Source organism: Homo sapiens, chromosome 13 (genome assembly GCF_000001405.40).
Source record: "Homo sapiens chromosome 13, GRCh38.p14 Primary Assembly".
Lineage (NCBI taxonomy): Eukaryota > Metazoa > Chordata > Mammalia > Primates > Hominidae > Homo > Homo sapiens.
In genome coordinates, this window is record NC_000013.11 from 21,794,171 (window position 1) to 21,818,734 (window position 24,564).

Genomic DNA, 24,564 nt, shown 5'->3' on the forward strand with positions numbered 1-24,564 from the left:
CTTTTGGCAACACCCTCACAAACACACCCAGGATCAATACTTTGAATCCTTCAATCCAATCAAGATGGTGCTCAGTATTAACCATCACAGCGACGTTATGAACCATACAAGAAAGTTTAATTACTTTTTAACTCAATTCCATTTTATAATAAAAAAGGAGTCCCTTATCTTGATTACACATCTTGTCACTGAGAATTGCATCGGAATGCCTTTTATTTATTTATTTATTTTGAGATGGGGTCTTATTCTGTCACTCAGGCTGGAGTGCAGTGGTATGATCTCGGCTCACTGTAGCCTCAGCCTCCCAGGCTCAAGTGATCCTCCTGCCTCAGCCTCCCGAGTAGCTGGGACCACAGATGCACACCACCATGCCTGGCTAATTTTTGGATTTTTGGTAGAGACTGGGTCTCCCTGTGTTACCCAGGCTGGTTTCCAACTCCTGAGCTCAAGTGATCTGCCTACCTCGGCCTCCCAAAGTGTTGGGATTACAGGCGTGAGCCACCGCGCCCGGCCTTAAATGACTTTTGGATGTTTCTCAAATAAGATTTGCTTCTATTGAGGCTGTAGAATTCTGTGCTGCAGGTCGCGAAAGCGAACCCGAGGGGGAAATGGGACAGCAGCACCGTTGGAAGAGATGCTCAGTGTCGGGGGGGGGGTGCCTCTGGCCTCACAAGTTAGGATCTGGTGGGTTTGATTCTCTACTTACTACTTACCAGCAAGGATGATCCTGAAACGAAAAGGCCAACAGAAACAGGATTCCTGCATTTGTGTTTCAGGGAACTCTTTGAGGAATGAACACACGCGTGTGGGCAGAGGCCAGGTTACGCTGCAGGCATAAACAAGCCACAGCAAAGTTTATTCCTCACTTCCCCAGTGTCTGTGGAGGTCAAGGCTGCTCTCCAGAACAGCTGCCCTTGAAGGGGACAGTGGCACAGCCTGGCCTGATCCTGTGGCTCCATCATCTCGACCTTCAACAGCAGCCTCTACTGTCCCCATACCAGCAGAGAGAAGGCCTGAGGCCCCACCAGTGCCCCACCAACGCCACAGGGCTGGCCATGGAGTGTGTAGGAGCCAAGAAGAAGAGGACAAGGGAATGTTGGTGAGTACTGATGACTTCCACCACTCGTGAGAGACAGGCACAAGGAGTCACTTACATCTTTCAGTTAAATGAGTACTCACTGAGCCAATACTTTATGTTTAGCACTTTTCTTAGCCTAGGCAGTTGATGAGGGTGGAGAGGGGATGATACATAAAATAGAGTCCTCATCCTCTAAGTGTTGAGAGCTTTCTGCAAAAGCAAGAGACTTGAAATAATTTAAGAGCAATGAAAGGCCTCCTGTGACAACTTTCCTAATTTTACTTTTCAGACAATGTTTTGGGAGAAGAGTCAGGAGGAGAGATGGGCGGTCCAGGCAGAAGAATAGCCTGAGCAAATGTGGAAGGGAGGATGGGGGTCCTCACTGAGGAGCAGGGGCCAGTGGAGAGGCAGGGGGAGAGACGGAGGAAGAGGTGGGGGACAGAAAGAGAGGTCAGATTTTCTAGAGAAGCTGCGGTCTTGGGAGGAAAGGCATTGGAGTTAGGATGCATGGGTTTGAATTCTCACTCTGGTTTTCCCACTTGCTGCTCTGGGACACTGCTTAAATCGATTCACCCCTTTGGGCCTCAGTCCACTTCTTTGTAAAATGGGTGGTAAGCATTGCACTCATCCCAAGGCTTGTTCGGAGGCCTAAATAACATAATACATTCCAAGCATTAGAACGGTGCCTGACGAAGTACAAAACTCTCAGCAAATGTGAGTCTTGTCATTCTGGAAAGGGTGAGTTAGGCGGGGCAAGTGTGAAAACTGCAAAGTGCAGGAGAGTTTGAGCTTTATTCAAGATAGAAGGGAGACCTTGACCTAAAGGATATTTCCCAGCATCTGCATAAAATCTGTATTATAAGGTAAACCTCCATCTTCTCTTCCATTTGCTAGCTTTACAGTTCAGCCCTATCAATCTCATCCCCAATAATGAATGCAAGTTGCGCAGACAGAAATTGCATAGCAACATCCCTCTTGTGAGCAATTCATTCCCTCCTGCCCGGGTCGGTTTTTGCTTCTCAGCCAGCCGGCTATTGCCTGCTGGCTCCTTCCTCCATTCGACAGTTTCCTAATACCTTTTTCTGCTCACATTGCCCAGGGGTGGACATAAGGAAATATAATATATAACTCCTGCTCTCAAGGAACTTACCAAATAGTCACATCAAAACTTGGCTTTTCCAAGTCCATTTTTAGAAACTTTTGTTTCAATGGAATGAGAAAAAGTAAAAATAGCTCAAGCAGACATTTCAAAGCCATCTTAAATTGTGCTTCACTCATTTTTTCTTCTTATGTTGGGAGTATCTTTAGCTTCTATAGAAGGACAAATAAAAGTAAATTCCTCGCAGCCATTAATGCTATTTATGCTCAACAGTGCATTATGTTTCTAAAGAAATAGCTTGGGAAGCTGAAAGAGCCCTTTTTTGTGTGGAAATCCAACTCTTTTTTTGTGGTTATTGCTGTCTTTCTGTACATTCCAACATCAGTTCGCTGAGCATGTAAGAAGGACCTGCACCCTCACGGGGCCTCCTCTGGAAGCAGGTGCTCGGCCCCTGCATCAAATCCCAGACCTGGCCCTGCCATCCTGCCTTCTTCTCCTCTCCCTGGTAGTTTTCTCAGAAAAATGAGAGGGCTTAGGCCTCTGACAGATGATTTGCCTGGGAAGCCCAGCAAGTCAGCAGGCAAAGACGCACACATCTCTGTTGATGCAGCTTTGATAAATGACATTCCCCTGTAACCCCAAGTCTGCACGACAAAGGTGGCGCCCTCCCCTCCTAACAGCACCGCCTACCATTCGCTGTGTGCGCTTGACAGGGGTTTAAAGGATCATCGCTCTGCTTTCTCATGAAAAAGAGTTTTTGTTTTTTTTTTTTACTGCTTATTCAATGATCATAATTTGAGACAGCAAAATATAAAATATCAAGTCACCCTATTGAATAAACACATTTCTAATTAAAATGGTGGAGAGAGGCTATGCTGGCTGGAGGAGGGGATCAAGGATACGAGACCCATCTGTTATTGTTTGGACCTCACTTTGAGGGAGTCATAAAAGGCAAGCTGTGCAGACAGAAACTCCACTTGGCCACTCCTTCCATGACAATTAGTGTTTTGTGTCCATGTTAGTTTCCATGGATCTCTGTCCTCTTTAGGGCACAGTGGAGAACACAGGGTGGTTGAATTACAGGGTCTTTTCTCTGTTATACATCAGAGCAGGAGAGACGAAGACAGTCAGGTGCAGTCTCTTGCTCGTGGTTGTAGTTCTTTGGTTGGTAGAGCTACCATCTTGGGACTTTCCCTCCCAACACCTCCTTTTGTAGAGATGGTATCCTACAAGGGGCTGGGGCATCTTAAGTTCCTTCTCATTCATTCACGCCTTTATATTTACAACCACATATTCCATATGAGAGCTGCCTCCCATGGCTATTCAATGCCTACCATGTGCCATGGACGTGGCATTTCTCACTTACTTCCCATCCCAGTCCTAAGAGATAGGCGTGAAAGCCAACATGGAGTAGGTGTAGTGAGTGCTTTGGAAGATCTTGCTTGATGTTTGAAATAACCACAAGAGGTAAAACTGTCATTCCCATAGTGTCTTATAGTGGAGGACACAGAGGCTCAGCAAGATTAAGCAACTTGACCAAAGTCCCATAGGTAGTAAATTAGAAAACTGGAATTTCAACCCGTACTCGAGGGACCCCAAGGTCCATGATCCTCCCACTGCTCCTGTGGCCGTTCATCTCTGACACCAGTGATCATGTCATTGTTTTCTCCTGGAGTGCAGAGAGATTCTGCAAGTGTTCAGCATGACTCACAGTTCCATATAAGAAGGTAAGCATTAGGCCAGGCCATGGTGGCTCATGCCTATAATCTGAGTGCTTTGGGAGGCTGAGGGGGGAGGATCACTTGAGGCCAGGAGTTTGAGACCAGCTTGGGGAACAAAGGGAGATCTCATCTCTACAAAAAAAAAGTTTAAAAATAATTAGCTGGGTGAAGTTGTGCACGTCTGTGTTCTCAGATGCTCACAAGGCTGAGGCCAGAGGGTTACTTGAGCCCAGGAGTTTGAGACCAGCTTGGGGAACAAAGGGAGATCTCATCTCTGAAAAAAAAAAAGTTTAAAAATAATTAGCTGGGCGAAGTTGTGCACATCTGTGTTCTCAGATGCTCACAAGGCTGAGCCCAGGGGAGTCAAGAGTGCAGTGAGCTGTGATCGTTCTACTGCACTCCAGCCTGGGCAACAGAGCAAGACCTTGTCTCAAAAAAAAAAAAAAAGAATGTAAGTTTTAGAAGTTTTTCTATACCTTTGTTTACCTCACTTATTCTTTTATTACCAATTTTATGCCAGTTGATTGCTTTATCTTCATAATTTTACAATTATTCTGTATTTTCAGTGTATACTGTCATTTGCTGAAATGATTGTCTCAATTAAGCAAAGAAACAACATGCTTAAAGGAGATGACATATCAAAGATTTTGCAATTCGTATCCAAAGTGTTTATAATTTAGATTATACTTTTTTTTTTTTTTTGAGATGATGTCTCACTATGTCACCAGGATGGAGTGCAGTGGCGCGATCTCGGCTCACTGCAACCTCCGCCTCCCAGGTTCAAGTGATTCTCCCTGCGTCAGCCTCCCGAGTAGCTGCGACTACAGGTATGTGCCACCACACTCAGCTAATTTTTGTATTTTTGGTAGAGACAGGGCTTCACCATGTTGGCCAGGAAGGTCTCGATCTCCTGACCTCGTGATCTGCCCACCTCAGCCCCACAAAGTGCTGGGATTACAGCCACCGTGCCCAGCTTATATTTTAGATTATACTTTTTTATTGATTAAAAATACTCAGAAAAAAAAATTCTGAAAAGGCCAGGCGCGGTGGCTCACGCCTGTGATCCCAGCACTTTGGGAGGCTGAGGCAGGCGGATCATGAGGTCAGGAGATGGAGACCATCCTGGCCAACATGGTGAAACCCCTTCTCTACTAAAAATACAAAAATTAGCTGGGCGTGGTGGCATGTGCCTGTAATCCCAGCTACTTGGGAGAATCGCTTGAACCCAGGAGGTGGAGGTTGCAGCGAGCCAAGATCGCACCACTGCACTCCAGCCTGGGCAACAGAGCAAGACCTTGTCTCAAAAAAAAAGAAAAGAAAAAAGAAACAAAAAAGAAACTTGAATGTAATGAACAACATTCAACATTTCCTTTTTTTTGCTGAATGACAATTGGTTCAATCATTGTTAAGACAAACTCGGTAGGTAGCTATCTCCCTGTGTTGAACTCCCACAGCGTCTGTTTCACTGCCTTGCTCCCGTGTCTGTGACATAATGGGATGGCCGTGGCAAGGGAGGGGAGAGCAAGGAGATAGACCTTACCTATCTCTGCAGCACCTCTTGCTTGCGGAATCCCGCCCTTATTGTCCAACCTAAAAGGGGGTTGTGGCCTCCATCAGAGGCTGCCTCCTGAGCTCACATGCTCCTGCCTGCCCTCTTCATTTTTCTGTTTCTCTTTTGTCCCATCCTTCCACTATCCACTGCAAGGAGCTCCCACGCAGATGTGTGCAAATATCTGAGCCCAGGACCTCTGGGGAGGGGGTTGGGGGTTCAGGCTGCCCCAGTGAGAGCAAGCATCCTCTCATTTCCCTAAAAGGTGCCTGAAGGCCAGCAGAGGCTTGCCAGAGCTCACATGCACCTCTACTTCATCTTTGCCAGCAAGCCAGCAGGCAGAGATGCACCTGTCTTTGTTGATGCGGCTTTGACGAATGAACAGATACCCCCTCCTACTGGGGTCCTAGTAAGAGGCCACTTACTGGCTAGAAATGGTCCAACCCAGTATCTCAGTTTCAGATTTTGTGAGTAACCAGGCTCCTTTCAATACCTGGTTTAATGAAAGTATGCAGGGCCATTTTCCCCATCACAGCAGCAGACGGCTCTGGCTGAGTCCAGCAAGGGGCATTGGCCTGCCCAGGGTGCAAATGCTGTTCCCCCAACCCTGGCTTCTCTCTGGCCAGTGGCAAAGGCTCCCTTTCTCTGCCCCTCGAATCCTAGCATGTTAAGTTCCCTCTCATACCACCACACTCTTGTCTCTCATTGTCTTATTTTCTATTTAAAAAATCCATTTATTTTTCTTAGTTTCCCCTTTTGATGCTTGCAGTACTCACACAGTTTCCAACCTGCCCAGGAAGGAGCTCATTCTCTTCCAGCCTCAGTTTTCTTTCTTTTTGTGGATTCTGCATTTTCTCCCTGCTTTGCATCTATGTGCACAAGGGCGTCCCCATTTAACTTTATCACTGCCTTATGACGCCTGGATTTTCACAACAACACTTGCGAATATTGCTTATTCTTTTAAGAATTACTAAAATTTACCCTCTGGTAGAAAGATTGACAAGGACTGAATATCAAAAATATTACAGCGGTTTGGAGACTGGGAGGTTTACCAGTCACTTTGCTGTGAGCCCATGGGGTAACTTCTGCCATGGACTGGGAAGTAGAAAATAACCTGTCAGAGGGCCTGGCTTTTGGAACGTCGGGCTGGAAGAGTGCCAAGAGAGATGAACTAGTGTCAGTAAACTTCTCCTGTGAAAGGCCAGAGAGTGACTATTCTGCAACTGCAAAACTCTGTTACTGTTGCATGAAAGCAGCCATATACATTATCTAGAAAAGTGGGCATGGCTCTGTTCCAATAAAACTTTTGTTAAATTAACTTAAATGTGGCCTGAGGCTCCCCGGGCACCTTGAGTCCTTAGGTAGTGAACTTTGACCTTAGCGTATAAACAAGCCTAATTTAGGAGCATAACAAACAGCTGAGTTTCAGCCAATCACAAACAGCCACCTTATCACACCATGCCCATATAAGGCAGATGCCTGACTGTAGCCAATCAGGTGATTTCTCTACTTTGCCTCTGTGTCCAGCCTACAAAAGCCCCCGGCTCATATGGATGGCCGCAGATCTCAGGACCCCCACTGGTTTAGGATGCTTCCTGATTCATAAAGCATTCTTTGCTCAAATAAACTCGTTAAATTCAATGTGACTAAAGTTTTTCTTTTAATGCCTTATTTGCAAAAACAGGTAATGGACTGAAATTGACCCATGAGTCAGTTTCCAGACTCCTGATCTAGACTAAAGGCCTGTTCTTACACAATAGAAACCAAGGTCCAGAGATGGGAAATGAATCATTTAGAGTCAGAGAGTTTATATTTGAAAGAGGTAAAACTGAGTCTCCCTGGAGCAGGAGATAATGTAAGATGAAGTGTGGCTGTGAGGGCTCATGCTTGAGGTAAGAGACAGTGGGTGAATATTTCAAGTCTGACTGATGGTACTGCCAAAGGCTGCAATTGCACCACGTAATGGGAGACTTGTCTAACTCGTGGGGCTGAGAGCACTTATGAAGAGCAAAACACATGCTACTTGGTATCAGAGAGTCTAGAAGGAATCAAAAACAGAATAAAGGTGTTTTAAGCATGGAGTTGCTGTTTTCAGTAGAATACAAACAGTAGGCTTATAATTATGTATGCAGCTTCAACTAAGACTTGGTTTTAGCATCTCAGCTATTTGCCAGTGCCATAAAACACATGACATTCCAAAAAGGAAAGAGAAAGGAGCTGCACTACTTTAGTTGAAGGGTTTATGGGAACAAAATTAATAGTGACATTAGCATGAAGGTTCACACATTGCACAGAAAGGAGTAGAAATAAAATAAATCAACGCCTAAGGGAAGAGGAGAGAAGTCCCTCCTATATTCATTAAGTTATTCAACAAATGTTATTGAAAGGTTTCTAGCTGCAGGCACCATTCTAGGTCCTGGACATGCAGCGGTGACTAAGATGTACAAGACCTCCCTTACCCTCCAATGGATCCAACCTAGGTCATTGAGAATGTGTGCGCAGCTGCTGTTACATCTTCAGTGTGAGACCATCCATGGTTCTCTTGCATATTAACTCACTCTTCTCGTATTTGAGCCACAACAGGGCCAGGAAACTTGGTCTATAGCTGGTGATAGAACCTGCAGGATTTCCAAGCGAATGAGTGGAGTGCAGATGGATGGCAGTAGGTTATTTTGCAGGTGAGACTAGGCCTTGTGGGTAAAGAGAGAGTGAGAGATAAACTCAGTGAAAACGTTTTCCCCATGGGAGATGAGAGGTCCAGCACCCAGAGTTGGAACTTGATTTGAGTGAAGACTTGGCATTAAGTGCAGATGTTTAGAGCTATGAGATTGTATTAACACCTGCAGTTAAGGTGGTGGATAACTTGGGGAAGAATGAATAAGACCAGGTTGTTGCACTGAGACAGAACCTCTTTAATTCTTCATTTAAAAAATTTTTGGGGTGGGGGACACCGTGGTGGTTAGTGGTTAGATATAGAGGAAGGGAAGATTTAGAAGAGATTTAGGAGCTGCTGGAATGTAGTGAGAAAGAGAATGATAGTGAGAGTTGTGGTCAGAGATATAGGCAGATCCAATAGTTCATGAGAGGACTTGTAGGCCGTGGAGAGGACCCCTCTAATACCTGCTTGTAATTGCAAATTGAGCAACCCAGGACAATTAATTGGTTAAAAAAGTACCCACTCTCAAGAGATTTGAAAATATTTATTTATACCAAAACTTGCTATGAATGTTCACAGCAGTATGATTATTCATAATATTCCCAATGTGAAAAAAACCCAAATGTCTGTCAGCTGAGGCATGAATACACAAAATATGGTATATTCATACAATGGAATATCACTTATCCATAAAAAAGAATGAAATTCTGACACATGCTACAACATAGATGAACTTTTGAAACATTATACTGAGTGAAAGAAGCCAGACACAAGGTTTATACAGGTTTAGTGTCCCTTATCTGAAATTCTTGGGATAAGAAATATTTCGGATTTCAAATCTTTTGGATTTTGGTACATTTACAAATATATAATGAGATATATTGGAGATGGGACCCAAGTCTAAACATGAAATTCATTCAAGTTTCATATGCACTTTATACAGAGAGCCCGAAGGTAATTTTAAACAATATATATATTTTTAAACTTAAATAATTCTTTACTAATTGTTTTGCAGTTCTTTTTATAGTTAGGGTATATCCCATTGGGAATGCCTGACAAATTCCTGTGTTTTTAAGTCACTTGGAATGGTTCCTTTTTGGTAGTTATGCCACCAACTGGATACATATGTTCATTTGTTTCCTTTGATTTGATTTGATTTCATAGTTCTGATTTTATTATTTTTATTTCAATAGCTTTAGTGGGTACAAGTGGTTTCTGGTTACATGGATGAATTGTATAGTGGTGAAGCCTGGGCTTTTAGTGTACTTGTCACCTGAATAGTGTACAATGCACCCAACTGGTAATTTTTCATCCTTCACTTCCCTTCCACCCTCCCCACTTCTGAGTCTCCAGTGTCCATTATATCACTCTGTATGCCTCTGCGTACCCATAGCTTAGCTCTTACTTATAAGAATGTGCAGTATTTGATTTTCCATTCCTGAGTTACTTCACTTAGGATAATGGTCTCCAGTTCCATCTAAGTTGCTGCAAAAGACATTACTTCAGTCTTTTTTATGGCTGAGTAATATTTCACAATATCTATCTATCTATCTATATCTATATATGTATATACTACATTTTCTTCATTCATCAGTTGATGGATACTTAGGTTGATTCCTTATCTTTGCAATTGTGAACTGTGCTGCAATAAACATACAAGTGCAGGTGTCTTTTTGATATAATGACTCCTTTTTCTTTGGGTATCTACCCAATGGTGGAATTGCCAGATTGAAGAGTAGTTCTATTTTTAGTTCTTTGATAAATCTCCATACTATTTTCCATAGGGGTTGTAGTAATTTACATTTCCACCAGCAGTGTACAAGCATTTCCTTTTCACCACATCCATGCCAATATCTATTATTTTTGACTTTTTAATAATGGCCATTCTGACGGGGGTAATTTTGTATCTCATTGTGGTTTTAATTTGTATTTCCCTGATGATTAGTGATGTTGAGCATTTTTTTCATATGTTTGTTGGCCATTTCTGTGTGTGTGTCTTCTTTTGGAAAATATCTTTTCATGTAATTTGCCCACTTTTTAATGGGTTTATTTGTTTTTTCTTGATGATTTGTTTGAGTCCCTTGTAGATTCTTGATGTTAGGTTTTTATTGGGTGTATAGTTTGTGAATATTTTCTCTCATCTATAAATTGTCTATTTACTCTGTTATTTCTTTTGCTATGCAGAAGCTTCTCAGTTTAATTAAGTTCCATTTATTTATTTTTGTTCTTGTTGCATTTGCTTTTGGGGTCTTAGTCATATTCTTAATAATTCTGTGCATGAAACAATGTTTGTGTACATGAGGTCAAGTGTGAAATTTTCCCTTGTGGCATCATGTTGACATTTATAAGTTTTGGATTTTGGAGTATTTTGGATTTCAGATTAGGGATGCTCAACTTGTATATTGTGTGATTCCATTTACATGAGATGTCCACAATAAACAAATCCATAGACACAGAAAGTAGAGCAGTGGTTGCCAGAGGCTGCAGAGAGGAAGAAAGGGGGAATGACTACTAGGAAGTATAGCATTTCTTTTTGGGCTGAAGAAAGTGGTTTGAAATAAAATAGTGATGTTGGTTGAATTAATACAATCTCAAGAATATGTTAAAAACCCCTAAATTATACTCTTTAAGATGGTGAGTTTCATGGTGTGTAAATTATATCTCAACAAAACTGTGTCTTCTTTAAAAGCAAAAGAGTTCTAATAAATATTCCAGTTTTTCAAATTACTTTTGTTACCTTTGTATAAAAAAAGGTAACTAAATGCATCCCGGAGTGACTCCAGGGATGGATCAGCAGCTTGTAAACACAGTAAGTGTCAGTTTGTGTTCCTCATTGTCTGGTTTGTGCTTTCATTTTTATATGAAGACTTGTGACCCAAACTGATAATAGGGAATTATGTTAAAAATAGTCCCACTGGCATTTAGTTTTTTTTTTTTTTAATAAAAGCAGAGTTTTGGTGAGTTTATTTGACCTATTTTTAAAATGGCTGTATCCTTGTTGGTCCATCAGAGCAAAGGATGCTTTGATTCCCCAAAGCACTCACCATAATGCAACAACTCAGACTTGTAGAGTACATTTGTAGACTTCCTGGTAGACTAAAGCATTTTCATAAAGCCCATGAAAGCCGAAGGATGATCTAGACCAGGCAGTTGATCTCCTTTGGTCAGGGGGAAGGAGGAAGCTTACATAAGTCACAGTGGTTCATTCTATGGACAAAGGAAGCACTTAGAACTTCAGTTGTGTGATACTAGAAGGTTTTCATTTTTATTTTTTTTAACAGTACTACTTTCTAAAAAGAAGTAAGGGTAATATTTGGGACCAAAGAGAGAGAAAGGGAGTGAAAAACCACACAAAATTTATTTTGTGCTTCCTTTGGATCTGCTTTTTGACATAGGTTCAAGATGAATTATTAGTTTCTAGGTCGTCCTAAATATCATTTGAATATGTTTTGAAACCGATTACATAAAAAAAGAACAAAGTTTAGGAAAAAAAATCATTGTGGTCCTGACATCATCACCAGACGTTAACATCTGTTGTCTTGTTTGTGCCTCTAACCACATCAAAATATTTGATGTCCCTTTTTAAAAAAAGGCCCGTTCTATGTGTTTGCTGAGGACTTTAATGACAAATACATTTCACCTTTAACCTTGAAGTAAATGCAAGTCATGCTGTTCCTTCCTCGCAGATGTCAAGTATTCTCCATAGTGGGTTAGAGAAGACAGAGAGTTGGCAGGCAAGAGACTGAAATGTCTGCTTGTACTTGAAATGGATTTGGAATAAACATGTGCATTTTTCTACTGGAAAACATTTTCAAAGAGAGACTACAGCATGATGCTCTCTTTTTGCTATCTTTTTTTCATTCAACTCACTTCATTGCTCTCTGTTCTAGCATCTTACCAAAGAAAACGTGTGCCTAGCGTTTGAACAAAGAATATTTTGTATTTTTAGCTGTAATTGAACTTTACAAGTTTATTTGCAAGAGTTCGTTGTCAAGTGCTTTTTGTGCATCTATTGAGATAATCATCCAGTCATGTGGTTTTTATCTTTCATTTTGTTAAATGTGGTGTAACACATTGACTGATTTGTGTTATGTTGAACCAACCTTGCATCCCAGGGATATATCCCACCTGGTCAGGGTGTTTAATCTTTCTGATGTGCTGTTGAATTTGGTTTGCTGATATTTAATTGAGGATTTTCACATCTATGTTCATTACAGGTATTGGTCTGTAGTTTTCTGTGGTGTCTTTGTCTGGCTTTGGTATTGGGGTGATGTTGCCTCATAAAATGAGTTTGGAAGTGTTTTCTCTTTTATTTTTTGGAAGCATTTAAGAAGGATTGGTATTAATTATTCTTTGAATGTTTGGTAGAGTTCATCCATTAAGCCATTTGGTCCTGGACATTTCCGTGTTGGGAGGGTTTTGATTACGAATTCAATCTCCTTATTTGTTGGTGTGTTCAAACTTTGTTTCTTCTTGATTAGGTCTTGGCAGATTGTATGTTTCTAGGGATTTATCCATGACAAAATTTTTTTAACAAAATAGATGTGGAAAGAACTTACTTCAACATAATGAAGGCCACTTATGATTAACATCGTAATCAATGGGGAAAAACTGAAAGCTTTTCCTCTAAGACCAGGAACAAGATAAGGATTGCCATTCTTGCCACTCCTATTCAACACGGTACTGGAAGTCCTAGCTGAGCAACTAGGCAAAAAGATAAATAAAAGGCATCTGAATTGGAAAGAAAGAAATAAAATTACCTCTGTTTGCAGATGACATGAGCTTATATGTATACAACTCTAAAAACACCACAAACATGTTAAAACTAATAAATGAATTCAGAAGAGTTGTAGGACACAAAATCAACATACAAAAATCAGTTATGTTCTTTATACCTACAATGAACTATCTGAAAAGAAAATCAAACACAATCCAACTCACAATAGCATCAAAAAGAAAAACATGGGTGTGAAAGATCTGTACCCTGAAAGCTACAAAATATTAATGAAAAAATTGAAGAAGACACAAATAAATGGAAAAGTATTTCCTATCACAAGTTGGAAGAATTAATATTATGTACATATAACACAAAGCAATCTATAGATTCAACACAATCCCTGTGAAAATTCCAGTGGCATTTTTCACAGAAATAGAAAAAACAATTCTAAAATTCATATGGAACAACGAAAGACCCCAAATAGCCAAAGCAATCTCGAGAAAGAAGAACAAGTTGGAGGTATCACACTTTCTGACTTCAAATTACACTTCAAAGCTATAATAATTTAAATAGTATGGTACTGGCATAAAAATAGACATATAGACCAATGGAACGAAATAGAGAGCCCAGAAATAAACTCATGTGTATTCAGTCAACTAATGTTCAACAAGGGTGCCAAGAATATACAAGAGGGAAAGGATAGTCTCTCCAGTTCACAGTGTGGAGAAAACTGAATATCTACATGCAAAGAAATGAGATTGGACCCTTATCTTACACTATACACAAAAACCAACTCAAAAGAAAGACATAGACCTGAAACTGTGAAAGTACTAGGAAAAAACATAGGGAAAAACCTCTTTGATATTGGTCTTGGCAATGATTTTTTGGATATGACATTGAAAGCGGAGGCAAAAAAAGCAAAAATAAATGTGTGAGACAACTTCGAAATAAAAAGCTTATGCACAGCAAAGAAAAATAATTTAAAAAATGGAAAGGCAGCCTACAGATTGAGAGGAAATATTTGCAACCATATCTCTGATAAGGGTTAATATCCAAAATATAGAAAGAATTCATACAACTCAATGCCAAAAAAACCCAAATAATCTGATTAAAAAATGGAGAAAGGACCTAAATAGACATTTCTCCAAAGAAGGCCAACAAGTATATGAAAAGGTGCTGACCTATCATCAGGGAAATGCAAATGAAAACCACGAGACATCACTTCACACCTGTTAGGGTGGCCATTATCAAAAAATAAAAATTGACAAGTGTTGGCAAGGCTGTGGAGAAAAGGGAACCCTTGTACACTGTTGGTAGGATTGTAAATTTGTATAGCTATTATGGTAAACAGCATGGAGTTTTCTTAAATAATCAAAAACAGAACTACCTTATGATCTGATAATTCTACTTTTGAATATATACCCAAAGGAATTGAAATCAATATCTCAAAGAGATGTATGCATTTCCATGGTCATTCCAGCAGTATTCACAGTAGTCAAGATATGAAATCAACCTAAGCATCTATTGACAAATGAATGAATAAAGAAAATGTGGTATATATACACGCACACACATATTGGAATACTATTCAGCCTTAAAAAAGAAGGAAATCCTACTATTCGTAACAACATGGATGAACTTGAAAAGCATGCCAAGTGAAATAAGCCAGACACAGAAAAAAGAATACTACATGATCTCAGTTATATGTAGAATCTAAAAAAGTAAAATTCATAGAAGCAGAAAATAGAATGGTGGCTACCATTGGCAGGGGTGGAATTGGGGTTGGGAGAAATTGTGGTAGATACTGGTCAAAGGATACAGGTTTCAGTTTCATAGGATGAATATGTTTTAGAGACCTAATGTACAGCATGATGACTATAGTTAATACTACTGAACTCTTGAAATTTGTAAAGAGAGTGGGTCTTGTGTTCTCACCACACACACACACACACACACACACACACACACACAAAGGTCCCTGTGTGAGGTGATGGATATTTTAATTAGCTTGACTATAGTAATTAATCATTTCACAATGTATATGTATATCAAACTTCCAATTATATTTTAGTAAAGCTGTTATTTAAAAATAAAAAAGATATTTTTACACATTAAACTTCTTTCTCCACTCAGACTATTTGAAAGTATTATTTTGAAAATATTAAAGAATAATCAGGCCAGGTGCGGTGGCTCATGCCTGTAATCCCAGCCCTTTGGGAGGCCAAGGTGAGAGGATTGCTTGAGGCCAGGAGTTCAAGGCCAGACTGGGCAACATAGCAAGATCTCATCTCTACAAAAAATAGAAAAAAATAGCCAGGTGTGGTGGCACACACTTGTAGTCCCAGCTCCTCAGGAGGCTGAGGCAGGAGGATTGTTTGAGCCTGGGAGGCTGAGGCTGCAGTGAGCTGTAATCATGCCACTGCACTCTAGCCTGGGTAACAGAGTGAGACCCTGTCTCAAAAAAACAAAAAATCACTTTCAGCCTTTTAAATAAATATCAAAATTCCCTTAAAAAAGTTTTTTCCTTTAATTCCATTTATGGGTTTAACTTCCATGTGAACCAGGCTTAGATGATTGTTATCAATTAGCCTGAAAGAATTCCTACAATTCTGACTGTGAGATTGTTCCCAAGGAGTGGCTGATTTCTGCTCTTCCCATATTTCCTCAACACCTCCTTGTCCCTAGAATAGAAAGTATCAATTATGCCACTGTTCAGTGGGCAAAGGCCCGATTGTTTTTCAGGATGATCTCAATTTTGGTGACTATTTGGGTCTATGATATTTCCCAACTTGTATTTTGTAGGATATTAAAATTGCGCCTATGACAGCCTCCATGACGTGGAGCTGCTTTGATTGTGTTCATGACATGCGCTCCAAAGGATGATTTCCATTTGGTTCTTCTTGCATGAGCAATGGGACTACAGATCTGGGTCCACATCAGCCTGTGTTCCGGGAGAGGGGGTTACGGGGGTTTACCCTTTTTTTTCTTTTTTTTGAGATGGAGCTTCATTCTGGTTGCCCAGGCTGGAGTGCAATGGCGCTATCTCGGCTCACTGCAACCTCTGCCTCCTGGATTCAAGAGATTCTCCTGCCTCAGCCTCCTGAGTAGCTGGGATTACAGGCGCCCACCACAACGCCTGGCTAATTTTTTTTTTTTGAATTTTTAGTAGAGACGGGGTTTCACCATGTTGGCCAGGCTGGTCTCGAATTCCTGACGTGAGGTGATCCACCTGCCTTGGCCTCCCAAAGTGCTGAAATTACAGCCGTGAGCCACCGTTCCCGGCCAGGTTTACCCAGTTTAAGCTCTCTTAGGGTACTTAGCTTGTCCATCATTCCTGCCATCAAGAGAGTTACTTGTTTTCATTTGACAGTTGTCCTAACCTGCTTCTTTCTTCCAGATCCCAGGATCATTCCAGGGGTGGAATGTGGGCCAAAATGACACTGGGGACCTTATCATCAGCTTCTGGGTTATTAAATAAACAGTAGGGCTATAGAAAGCAGTTCAGTTTAACTATTTCTTGTTCAGAACATACTGATGGAATCCATAAAGGGTAAAAAATAACAAGTAGGGCAGTCTGCAATATTAAGTAGGACAAATAACTGTAACGAAGGGAGAGTTATGCTTGTGTCTCAAGAGAAGTCTAGAAAAGGGCTGGAGGAGCTCAGAAGAAGGAGAGACAGCCAGGAGTAGAGGGGGATCAAAGTGGACTACATGGAGAAGTGGTACCTGAGGTGAGTTTCAGCTGTGGCTGAGAAAGGGGAGAGGGATGTTGGGGAGGAATTATTCCAGGAAAAAGAGGCAAAATGAGCAAAGTATGGAGACAGGAAAAAATGACTATGTTCAGTGACTGGACTGATATCAAGTGGAGAGAGTCTTGATTGCAATATTTGAGTGACATCATCAGCAGTGATGTCTGGGACAGAGGAGAGCACTCCTTCAAAACCCGAGGAGCCTTGGCAAGCCCACTTCCCAGGCTTCAGTTCTTATCCTCATCTGGAAGCATAAGGGGGCTTACAAAATCTTTTCTAAGGCCCAGTTCTGCTCTAGAGTTTGATGATTCATAAAGACAGGCATCAGTTAGGTGTTTGCCCAGCATCTAGGCAGGTGACATAGGGTGTGTTGGGATGGCACAGAGTGGAGAGAAAGAAAGGGGAGAGTATGAGAGGGAGAGTGGCTATTCCTTGGAAACTACTGGAGGTTGGAATTGAGAGAGATCAGGATGAGCAGATTACTGGATTCCAAACCCAGTTTTCTGGACCAGTGTTAATGTCATTAAGAGACAGAAGGAAAGTAGAGGAAGGGGCTAGTTTTGTGGAGAGGATGAACTTGGTCTTAGACACGATGAGTTTAAGGCATTGTCTTCAAATCCAGGTGGATACGTCCCACAAGTCGAAACAAGGTGCTTTGAGAGGATGTGCAACTGGAGGTGAATTTGGGGATAGTGGTGCTGTGAGGGCATAGAAGGATGAGGCAGAAAGGAAAATGCTAGAACCTAGGATGGGAGCAGGAAGAATCTGGGGAGATAAGACTGTTGGGAGAAGGAGGAAAAGTCAGGGCAGGAGGAGGAGGAGGGTATTCGACAGTGTCCTCACCTTGAAGATGAGGGGAGCCTGGTGGTCTGGGGGAGTTGCAGAAAAGTTACTTTTAAAGGGGGGTGGGGGTACCAGCTGGGTCTCTTCCTTTTAGACCTGGTTCAATGAAATTCAAGGAGAGCCAAGTGATAGAGAGGGGAGATCAGTGTTGTGAGCCATAGGAAAAGGTACCTTTTGGAAGCCTTCCATGAGAATTACTTGTTCTCATTTTATAGTTTTCTTAACATCTTCCCCTTCTTTTTTTTTTCTTGATGTAAAGCTCATGGGCTCTCCAGGTATCCCCAGGAGTGAAGAGGGTCTCTCTTATGATATATTACACCAATACCAGACTAGAGGAGATTTCAAAGTAACAGAAACTTACTTCCCTGCCAACAGCCAGCATTACCTAGAGTTGGGGGTCAGGTCTCGAGACAATTGTCAATGGGAGAGAAAAAGCCTCAAACCGACCAAGCCCAAATGCAAATGATCACAGTGTTCCAGCAGTGTTTTCGTTTCTTTTCAGTCAGTCCTCAAGATTGGGGACACCACCAAAGCAGGTCAAAAGGCGAAGGTGGCAGAGCCACCCAGCATAGGCCCCTGGGCAGGTCCCTGGGACCCGCCCCTGGGGGCCACTGGGGTGCAATGCCGGATGCAGTGGCCTTTGCTGTCCTCTGTCACTGTGGGTCAGTCCATGTCCCGAGGGAGGGTGTCTCCCCATGCCCCGCAGTGCAGTGCATGATCAGGCAGGGCTCCTGGGCTAATGGTCCCCAGGTTTGGATTTCAGGGGGAAGAAGCTTTCAGGCGGGGTGGCGTTGGCAGGCAGCCCAGATTTCTGGAATGTGTTGCTCTGCCCGGTGGGCTAGCGGTTTGGCGGATCAGGTTCCGGCTGGCGAATACAGGAGAACAATAGGCATGTGGTTCCTGGACTAATTAGCTGTGTGGCTCTTCTCCCGGCTGTGCCCTTGGCTGGGCCTCCAGTCCTGCTGTCACTGCCTCTGGGGTCCGGCTTGAACACTTGCTGGCTGGGGGAGCCCTGCAGGGAAGATGAGGCATCAGGGGACTGAAGTCTGCCAGCAGGGATCGGGCTTGTGATTACATCCCATGGGTGGCCCCCTGGTGACATTAGATCAGGGGCTGCCCTGTGTAGAGAGCTGGTGTTTCTTGGGACACAGTGGTGGCTTGCGAATGGCTGTGGGCGCAGAGGCTGCAGTGAGCATGTTTCATTTTGCCACACGGGGGAATGCTCTTCCTACACCAGGTGCCTTCCGTGGGCCTAAATATTTCAGTGGCAGGCAGGTAAGCTGAACTGAGGGCCAGGGTGGGGAAGGCTTCAAGGTTCATGGAACATCAGCCAAATTTTTGGGAGAATGTCATGTCTGGACTTTGTGGAATCTTACCTTTGGGAGAGTCAAAAAAAGTCTTAAATATTTGACAGGAAAAAAAGGGGGTTTTTCATTCAGGATCATCTAATTCAGCTCAGGACAATTCAGATTTCTATAAAGTTAAGTTACGAAAACAGTTACAAAATCTTTAAATGAGAGGGCTTTCCCCATGGCTGTGAAACATAACGAGAGGTTTCACTGATGTCTTCTGGGGTATTCACATAGTTTGAAAAATGAGGGGCATCCTTATTCTCATCTTCAAAAACTTTTCTCAGATTGGGAAAGCCTGAGAAGGTGCCAATAGAAGGGAGTTTCTTAGTTGCTCCTGAACCCAGAACCTGACCCCTTCCTAGGTGGCGCTCTCCCACCTGTTCCCAAGGCAGTTTTTTCACCCTCTCTCATAAAGGGGCTCCCTCAAGATTTGAGACTTAGACCCTACTTTAGACAAACTCAATAAGGCCATAGTTGAGGAAAGATGTTTAAAATACTTCCCCCAAAGTTCTTCGAAAGAAGAAATGAAGTTGTCTGTTATCTTTTAAGAGGACGCATGAATCCATGTTCTTAATGAACTCGGAAGGTTTTGCTTGTTCAAAGTGTCATCCTTCCATCCACAGCACAGCGTCACCTGAGAGGCTGCTAGAGATGCAGAGAGCCAGATCCGACCTGGGCCCGCTGAATCAAAATCTGCATCTTATCAAGATCCCCAGGGGATTTGTAAAAAATAGAGCATGGGAAGAAACAGGTACTACTATGTCCTGAATCTGAAATTCTCTTTTCTTTGTTCTCTTATGAACTGTGGTCTCTCTCTCACTCTCTCTCTCTCTCTCTCTCTCTCTCTCTCTCTCTCTATCCCAGCCTCAATGTCTTTGCTGGAAAATTTTCTTTCTATTTAGCCTGCTAATCCACAGAGATGCCCTGGATCACCCTTGGGACACCTAGATTTTCTCCACATGAAGCCTGTTAGGTGATTTGACAGTTGGAGACCTTCCTGTTAACAGCCATTATAATAAAACATTCCCCCAAACCAAATTCGGCAATTATTAACAAGTTGAAACAGAAAACGATGTTTACTAAGGCATTCTTCCTGAGGCTTAATATATCCTGTGAAGAGGGTGGGGTGGGTGTAGGAAATCTTAGCTCTACCTGGAGTTCAAGGTAATGTCAGAACCAGAGGTTGAAGTACAGGGAAAGCACCTCTTCCTTAGGAGTCGGACATGGAGATCTTTTTACATGCGCAGTTGGCCAGTGATGACCTTGTCATTGAACTGACTCCCTTTCAGTGATTAGAGGGTGTGCTTAGTAGCTTAATTTCTTTCCATCGCTGGCTTCTGCATAGAGTGGACCTGTGCAGAGTAGCCTTCAGTCAAGACAGTGAGGTCACTTGGATGAAAGGAACCTGGACTGCATTTGGGCACACGTCTGTGTGTACTCCATGGGTGCCCAGCGAGGGCAGTGCCCACAAGAATTTGCTTGTCACTGTATCCTCAATACCTGGTACAAAACAGATGCTCTATTACTATTTTCTCAATTACAGCAGTAATTTCAACTTGTATCTGGGGGTAAAAATTCCAGAATCTGCTAAAGACATGAACGTTCATTTGCCATGGATCAGGCATGCTGTATTTTGCTATCAAACATGTATGGCAGAGGTAAGCACAGGCCCTGCAAACGGTGTGCTTTCTTTGCTTTTCTAAAGCAAATATGCAAAGACGATGTGCCAGTATTTAGTGGGAACATGCAGAGATCTTGGACTCCAGGGCTTGGAGTTTCCTAGGTTTCAGGGGCACCTAATCCAGTCTTGCACTCCAGCAGGAATTCCCTCTACAACATGGACTCATTTATTCAACAGAGTTCGGCTGATGGCTTATAAAATGTAGCACCTGCCAGACTCTCTGAGGCTCTGTAGGGAGGCGATAAATTACAATTTCTGATCTCTACGAGCTCACAGTTCACTGGAGGAGTCACACATTTAAACAGATAACAACACTGCTTCTTTAAAAGAAATACAAGTATATAAAAGGTACTACGTAGGAATGCAGAGAAGGAGTACCCAGCGCTTCCTGAGACGAGGGTGGGAGAACAGGGATGGCTCCCAACATATGATCCCATCACAGACATTGCTTCATAAGAATCAGGAGATGGCCGGGCGGGGTGGCTCACGCTGTAATCCCAGCATTTTGGGAGGCCGAGGCAGACAGATCACGAGGTCAGGAGATCGAGACCATCCTGGCTAACATGGTGAAACCCCGTCTCTACTAAAAATACAAAAAATTAGCCAGGGGCGGTGGCGGGCGCCTGTAGTCCCAGCTACTCAAGAGGCTGAGGCAGGAGAATGGCGTGAACCCGGGAGGCAGAGCTTGCAGTGAGCCGAGATCGCGCCACTGCACTCCAGCCTGGGCGACAGAGGACACTCTGTCTAAAAAAAAAAAAAAAGAATCAGGAGACATTCTCACATGACTGACAAATGACAACTTATTAGGCATTTAGTGAGTTCCAAGCACAATCTGAAGTGTTTTACATGTGCTAGTTCACTTAATCACTACAATAACTACTAGTTTATTATTCCCATTTTACAGATTAGGAAACTAAGAATTGCAAGGTCGGGTAATAACTCGTGCAACCAGTAAGTGGCTGAGCAGGGAGTGAAAGCTAGGCAGTGTGATTCTGAGTCCTGGCTCTTCAGCACTAGGTTAGACTGTCTCCTGCACAGGAAGAAAGACACTTGGCGGAGAGGCAAGGTCTGTGAACAGCTACGAGAGAGTCAGGGAATCAGGAATTAAGGGTGACTTGTTCACGGAGCTTGGAGGAGTAGGTCGGGCTGGATCCTGATTTTAGATGTCATTTTAAGGAATTTATCTCTAGGTGATAGTTATGGGAGGATTTTTCTTAATTGTGGTAAAACAATGTAACATAAAATTTATCATTTTAACCATTTTAAGCATACAGGTCAGTGGCATTAAGCACATCACGTTGCTTTGCAACCAGCGTCACCAGCCAGCTCTAGAACTTTTTCATCTTCCCGAATGAATCTCTTCACCCGTTAGGCAATAACTCTCCATTCCCTCATCTCCAAAGCTCCTGGCAACCACCATTTCCCTAGCCCCTGGTAACCAGTACTTTTTGTCTCATGAATTTGACTACTCTGGGCACCTCATATGAGTCAAAGCTTACATTATTTACCCCTTTGTAACTGGCTTTTCACTTAGCACAATGTCCTCAAGGTTCATCCACGCTGTAGCATCTGTCAGAATTTCAATCCTTTTTTAAGGCTGAATAATATTCTATTGTATAGATGGGCCACATTCTGTTTATTCATCTATCGATGAGTATTTGGATTGCTCCTGCCTTTAGGTTATTGTGAATTGAGGGATTCTAATCTGGGGAATGGTACAGTTACATTTATATCTTACAGATGCAGGGAAAAAAAACCAGAACACTGGTTGCCAGTGTGCAGGTTGGAGGGGAGAATAGAGACAAGTTTTAGCCTGTTATAGTAATCTAGGTGACAGATAACGAGAGTTTGCACTAAGGTAGTGTTGTGGATAGATTAGAGGAGACACAGATTACAGACACGTAGGAGGAAGAGGCACACGATTTGGTTACCACTTGGAAGGGGTTGGGGCAAATGTGGAAGAGTTACCTAGGACTTTGCTGTTTGACCTTGTAACTAGGTAGATGGTGGTAAAATGGTACCTACCAGGTGGAACAGAGAATCTCAGGAGGTCCGTGCTGCAGGGGCTTTCACTTACCTCCTGAAATTTCATGCAACTATGTATGTTCCATGTCTTTTCCTGGTAAGAGGGTCTACAGCTTTCCTTGGATTGTTATAAAATCTATCTCCAGGATTGGTGCTGTGGCTCACTGCTGTAATCCCAGCATTTTGGGAGGCTGAGGTGGATGGGTCACTTGAGGTCAGGAGTTCGAGACCAGCCTGGCCAACATGGGGAAACCACGTCTCTACTAAAATTACAAAAATTAGCCAGGTGTGGTTGCAGGCGCCGGTAACCCCAGCTACTTGGGAGGCTGAGGCAAGAGAATCTCTTGAACCCTGGAGGCCTCACAGATTGCAGTCCGTGGAGACCACGCCATTGCACTCCAGCCTGGGCAACAAGAGCAAAATTCCGTCTCAAAAAACAAAGTACTAGTGATTCGGGCCGGGTGCGGTGGCTCACACCTGTAATCCCAGCACTTTGGGAAGCCGAGGCGGGCAGACCACGAGGTCAGATCATCAAGACCATCCTTGCTAACCTCGTCTCCACTAAAAGATACAAAAAAATTAGCTGGGCATGCTGGTGGGCGCCTGTAGTCCCAGCTACTCGGGAGGCTGAGGCAGGAGAATGGCGTGAACCCAGGAGGCTGAGCTGGCAGCGAGCCCAGATCGTGCCACTGCACTCCAGCCTGGGCGACACAGCAAGACTCCATCTCAAAAAAAAAAAAAAAAAAAAAAAAGATAGTCATGCTTTGCCTGTGCAGGGTGTTGCTGGTGCAGGTAAGCTGAGGAGGTTCTCATCTAATGTTCTTTTGCATGTCTTTGTGGAGGAGGAGACCAAATGTGCTGACCCTGTTGAGTGAGCCGGTGGCTTCAGAAGCGGTGGAAAGACAGTGGTGAAACGTTAAGGTCATCACTTCAGGAGTGCAAGTGAATGCTCACTGGAATTAACCAACGGAACAGTAGAGGGACACGTGTGAGCGACAAACCACACCCCAAGGGCTTGCTCGCCACATGCGCCTCCCTGCGGGCTGGGAAGCACTTGCTGTTGGAAAGGACTCTGTTATTTAGAGTCAAAACAGATTTTCTCTTGTCTCACGTCCTTCCTTTTTTAAGCTAACCGTTCCCATTTTCTTTCATCAGCTCTATAGTGAGAGGAGACACCGTGCTAGCAGCCCTCACTCGCTCTGGCCGCGCTTGAGGAGCCCTTTAACCCACCGCTGCAGTGTGGAAGCCCCTCTCTGGACTGCCGGAGACCGTAGCCGGCTCCCTCTGCTTGCGGGAAAGTGTGGAGGGAGAGACACGGGTGGGAACCGGGGCTGTGCAGGGCACTCATGGGCCAGCGTGAGTTCTGGGTGAGCACGGACTCGGCAGGCCCTGCACTCCGAACGGCCGGCGCCACTGGCCCCAGGCAGTGAAAAGCTTAACACCCAGGCCAGCAGCTGCGGAGGATGTGCCGGGTCCCCCAGCACTGCCTGCCGGCCGGCCCGCCCGCCCCGCACTTGAATTCTGGCCGGACCTCAAGCCGCCTCCCTGCGGGGCAGGGGCTGGGGACCTGCAGCCCACCATGCTCGAGCACTGCCCCCTGCCCTGTGGGCTCCTGATTAGCCGGAGCCTCCCTGAGGGGCGCTCCCAGCTGCTCCGCAGCACCAGGTCCCATCGACCATCCAAGGCCTGCGTAGTGCGAGCGTGCTGGCGCAGGACTGACAGGCAGCTCCGCTCTCAACGGCATCCACTAGCAGAACCAGCTGGGCTCTTATGTTGGATGGGGACTTGGAAAACTTTTGTGTCTAGCTAAAGGATTGTAAATGCACCAATCAGCAATCTGTGTCTAACTCAAGGTTTGTAAATGCACCAATCAGCACTCTGTCAAAATGGACCAATCAGCTCTCTGTAAAATGGACCAATCAGCAGGATGTGGGTGGGGTCAGATAAGGGAATAAAAGCAGGGTGCCGGCCCTTGCGCCAAGAACCTGCTCGGGGGTCGTATCCCAAGATGTGGAGCGTTTGTTCTTTGGCTGTTTGCTATAAATCTAGTTGTTGCTGACTTTGGGTTCACTGCGTTGTGAATTGTAACACTTA

The 24,564-nt window shown here is 43.5% G+C and overlaps 1 long non-coding RNA gene across 1 annotated transcript; it reads left to right on the top strand.

Annotated features, from left to right (window-relative positions):
- The first annotated feature begins 884 nt into the window (after positions 1–884).
- Positions 885–24,325, top strand: LOC124903132 (uncharacterized). The gene is made up of 3 exons (XR_007063714.1): positions 885–1,099; positions 19,388–19,515; positions 23,626–24,325. It is a non-coding gene; the product is annotated as an uncharacterized LOC124903132 (long non-coding RNA).
- The last annotated feature ends 239 nt before the right edge of the window (positions 24,326–24,564 follow it).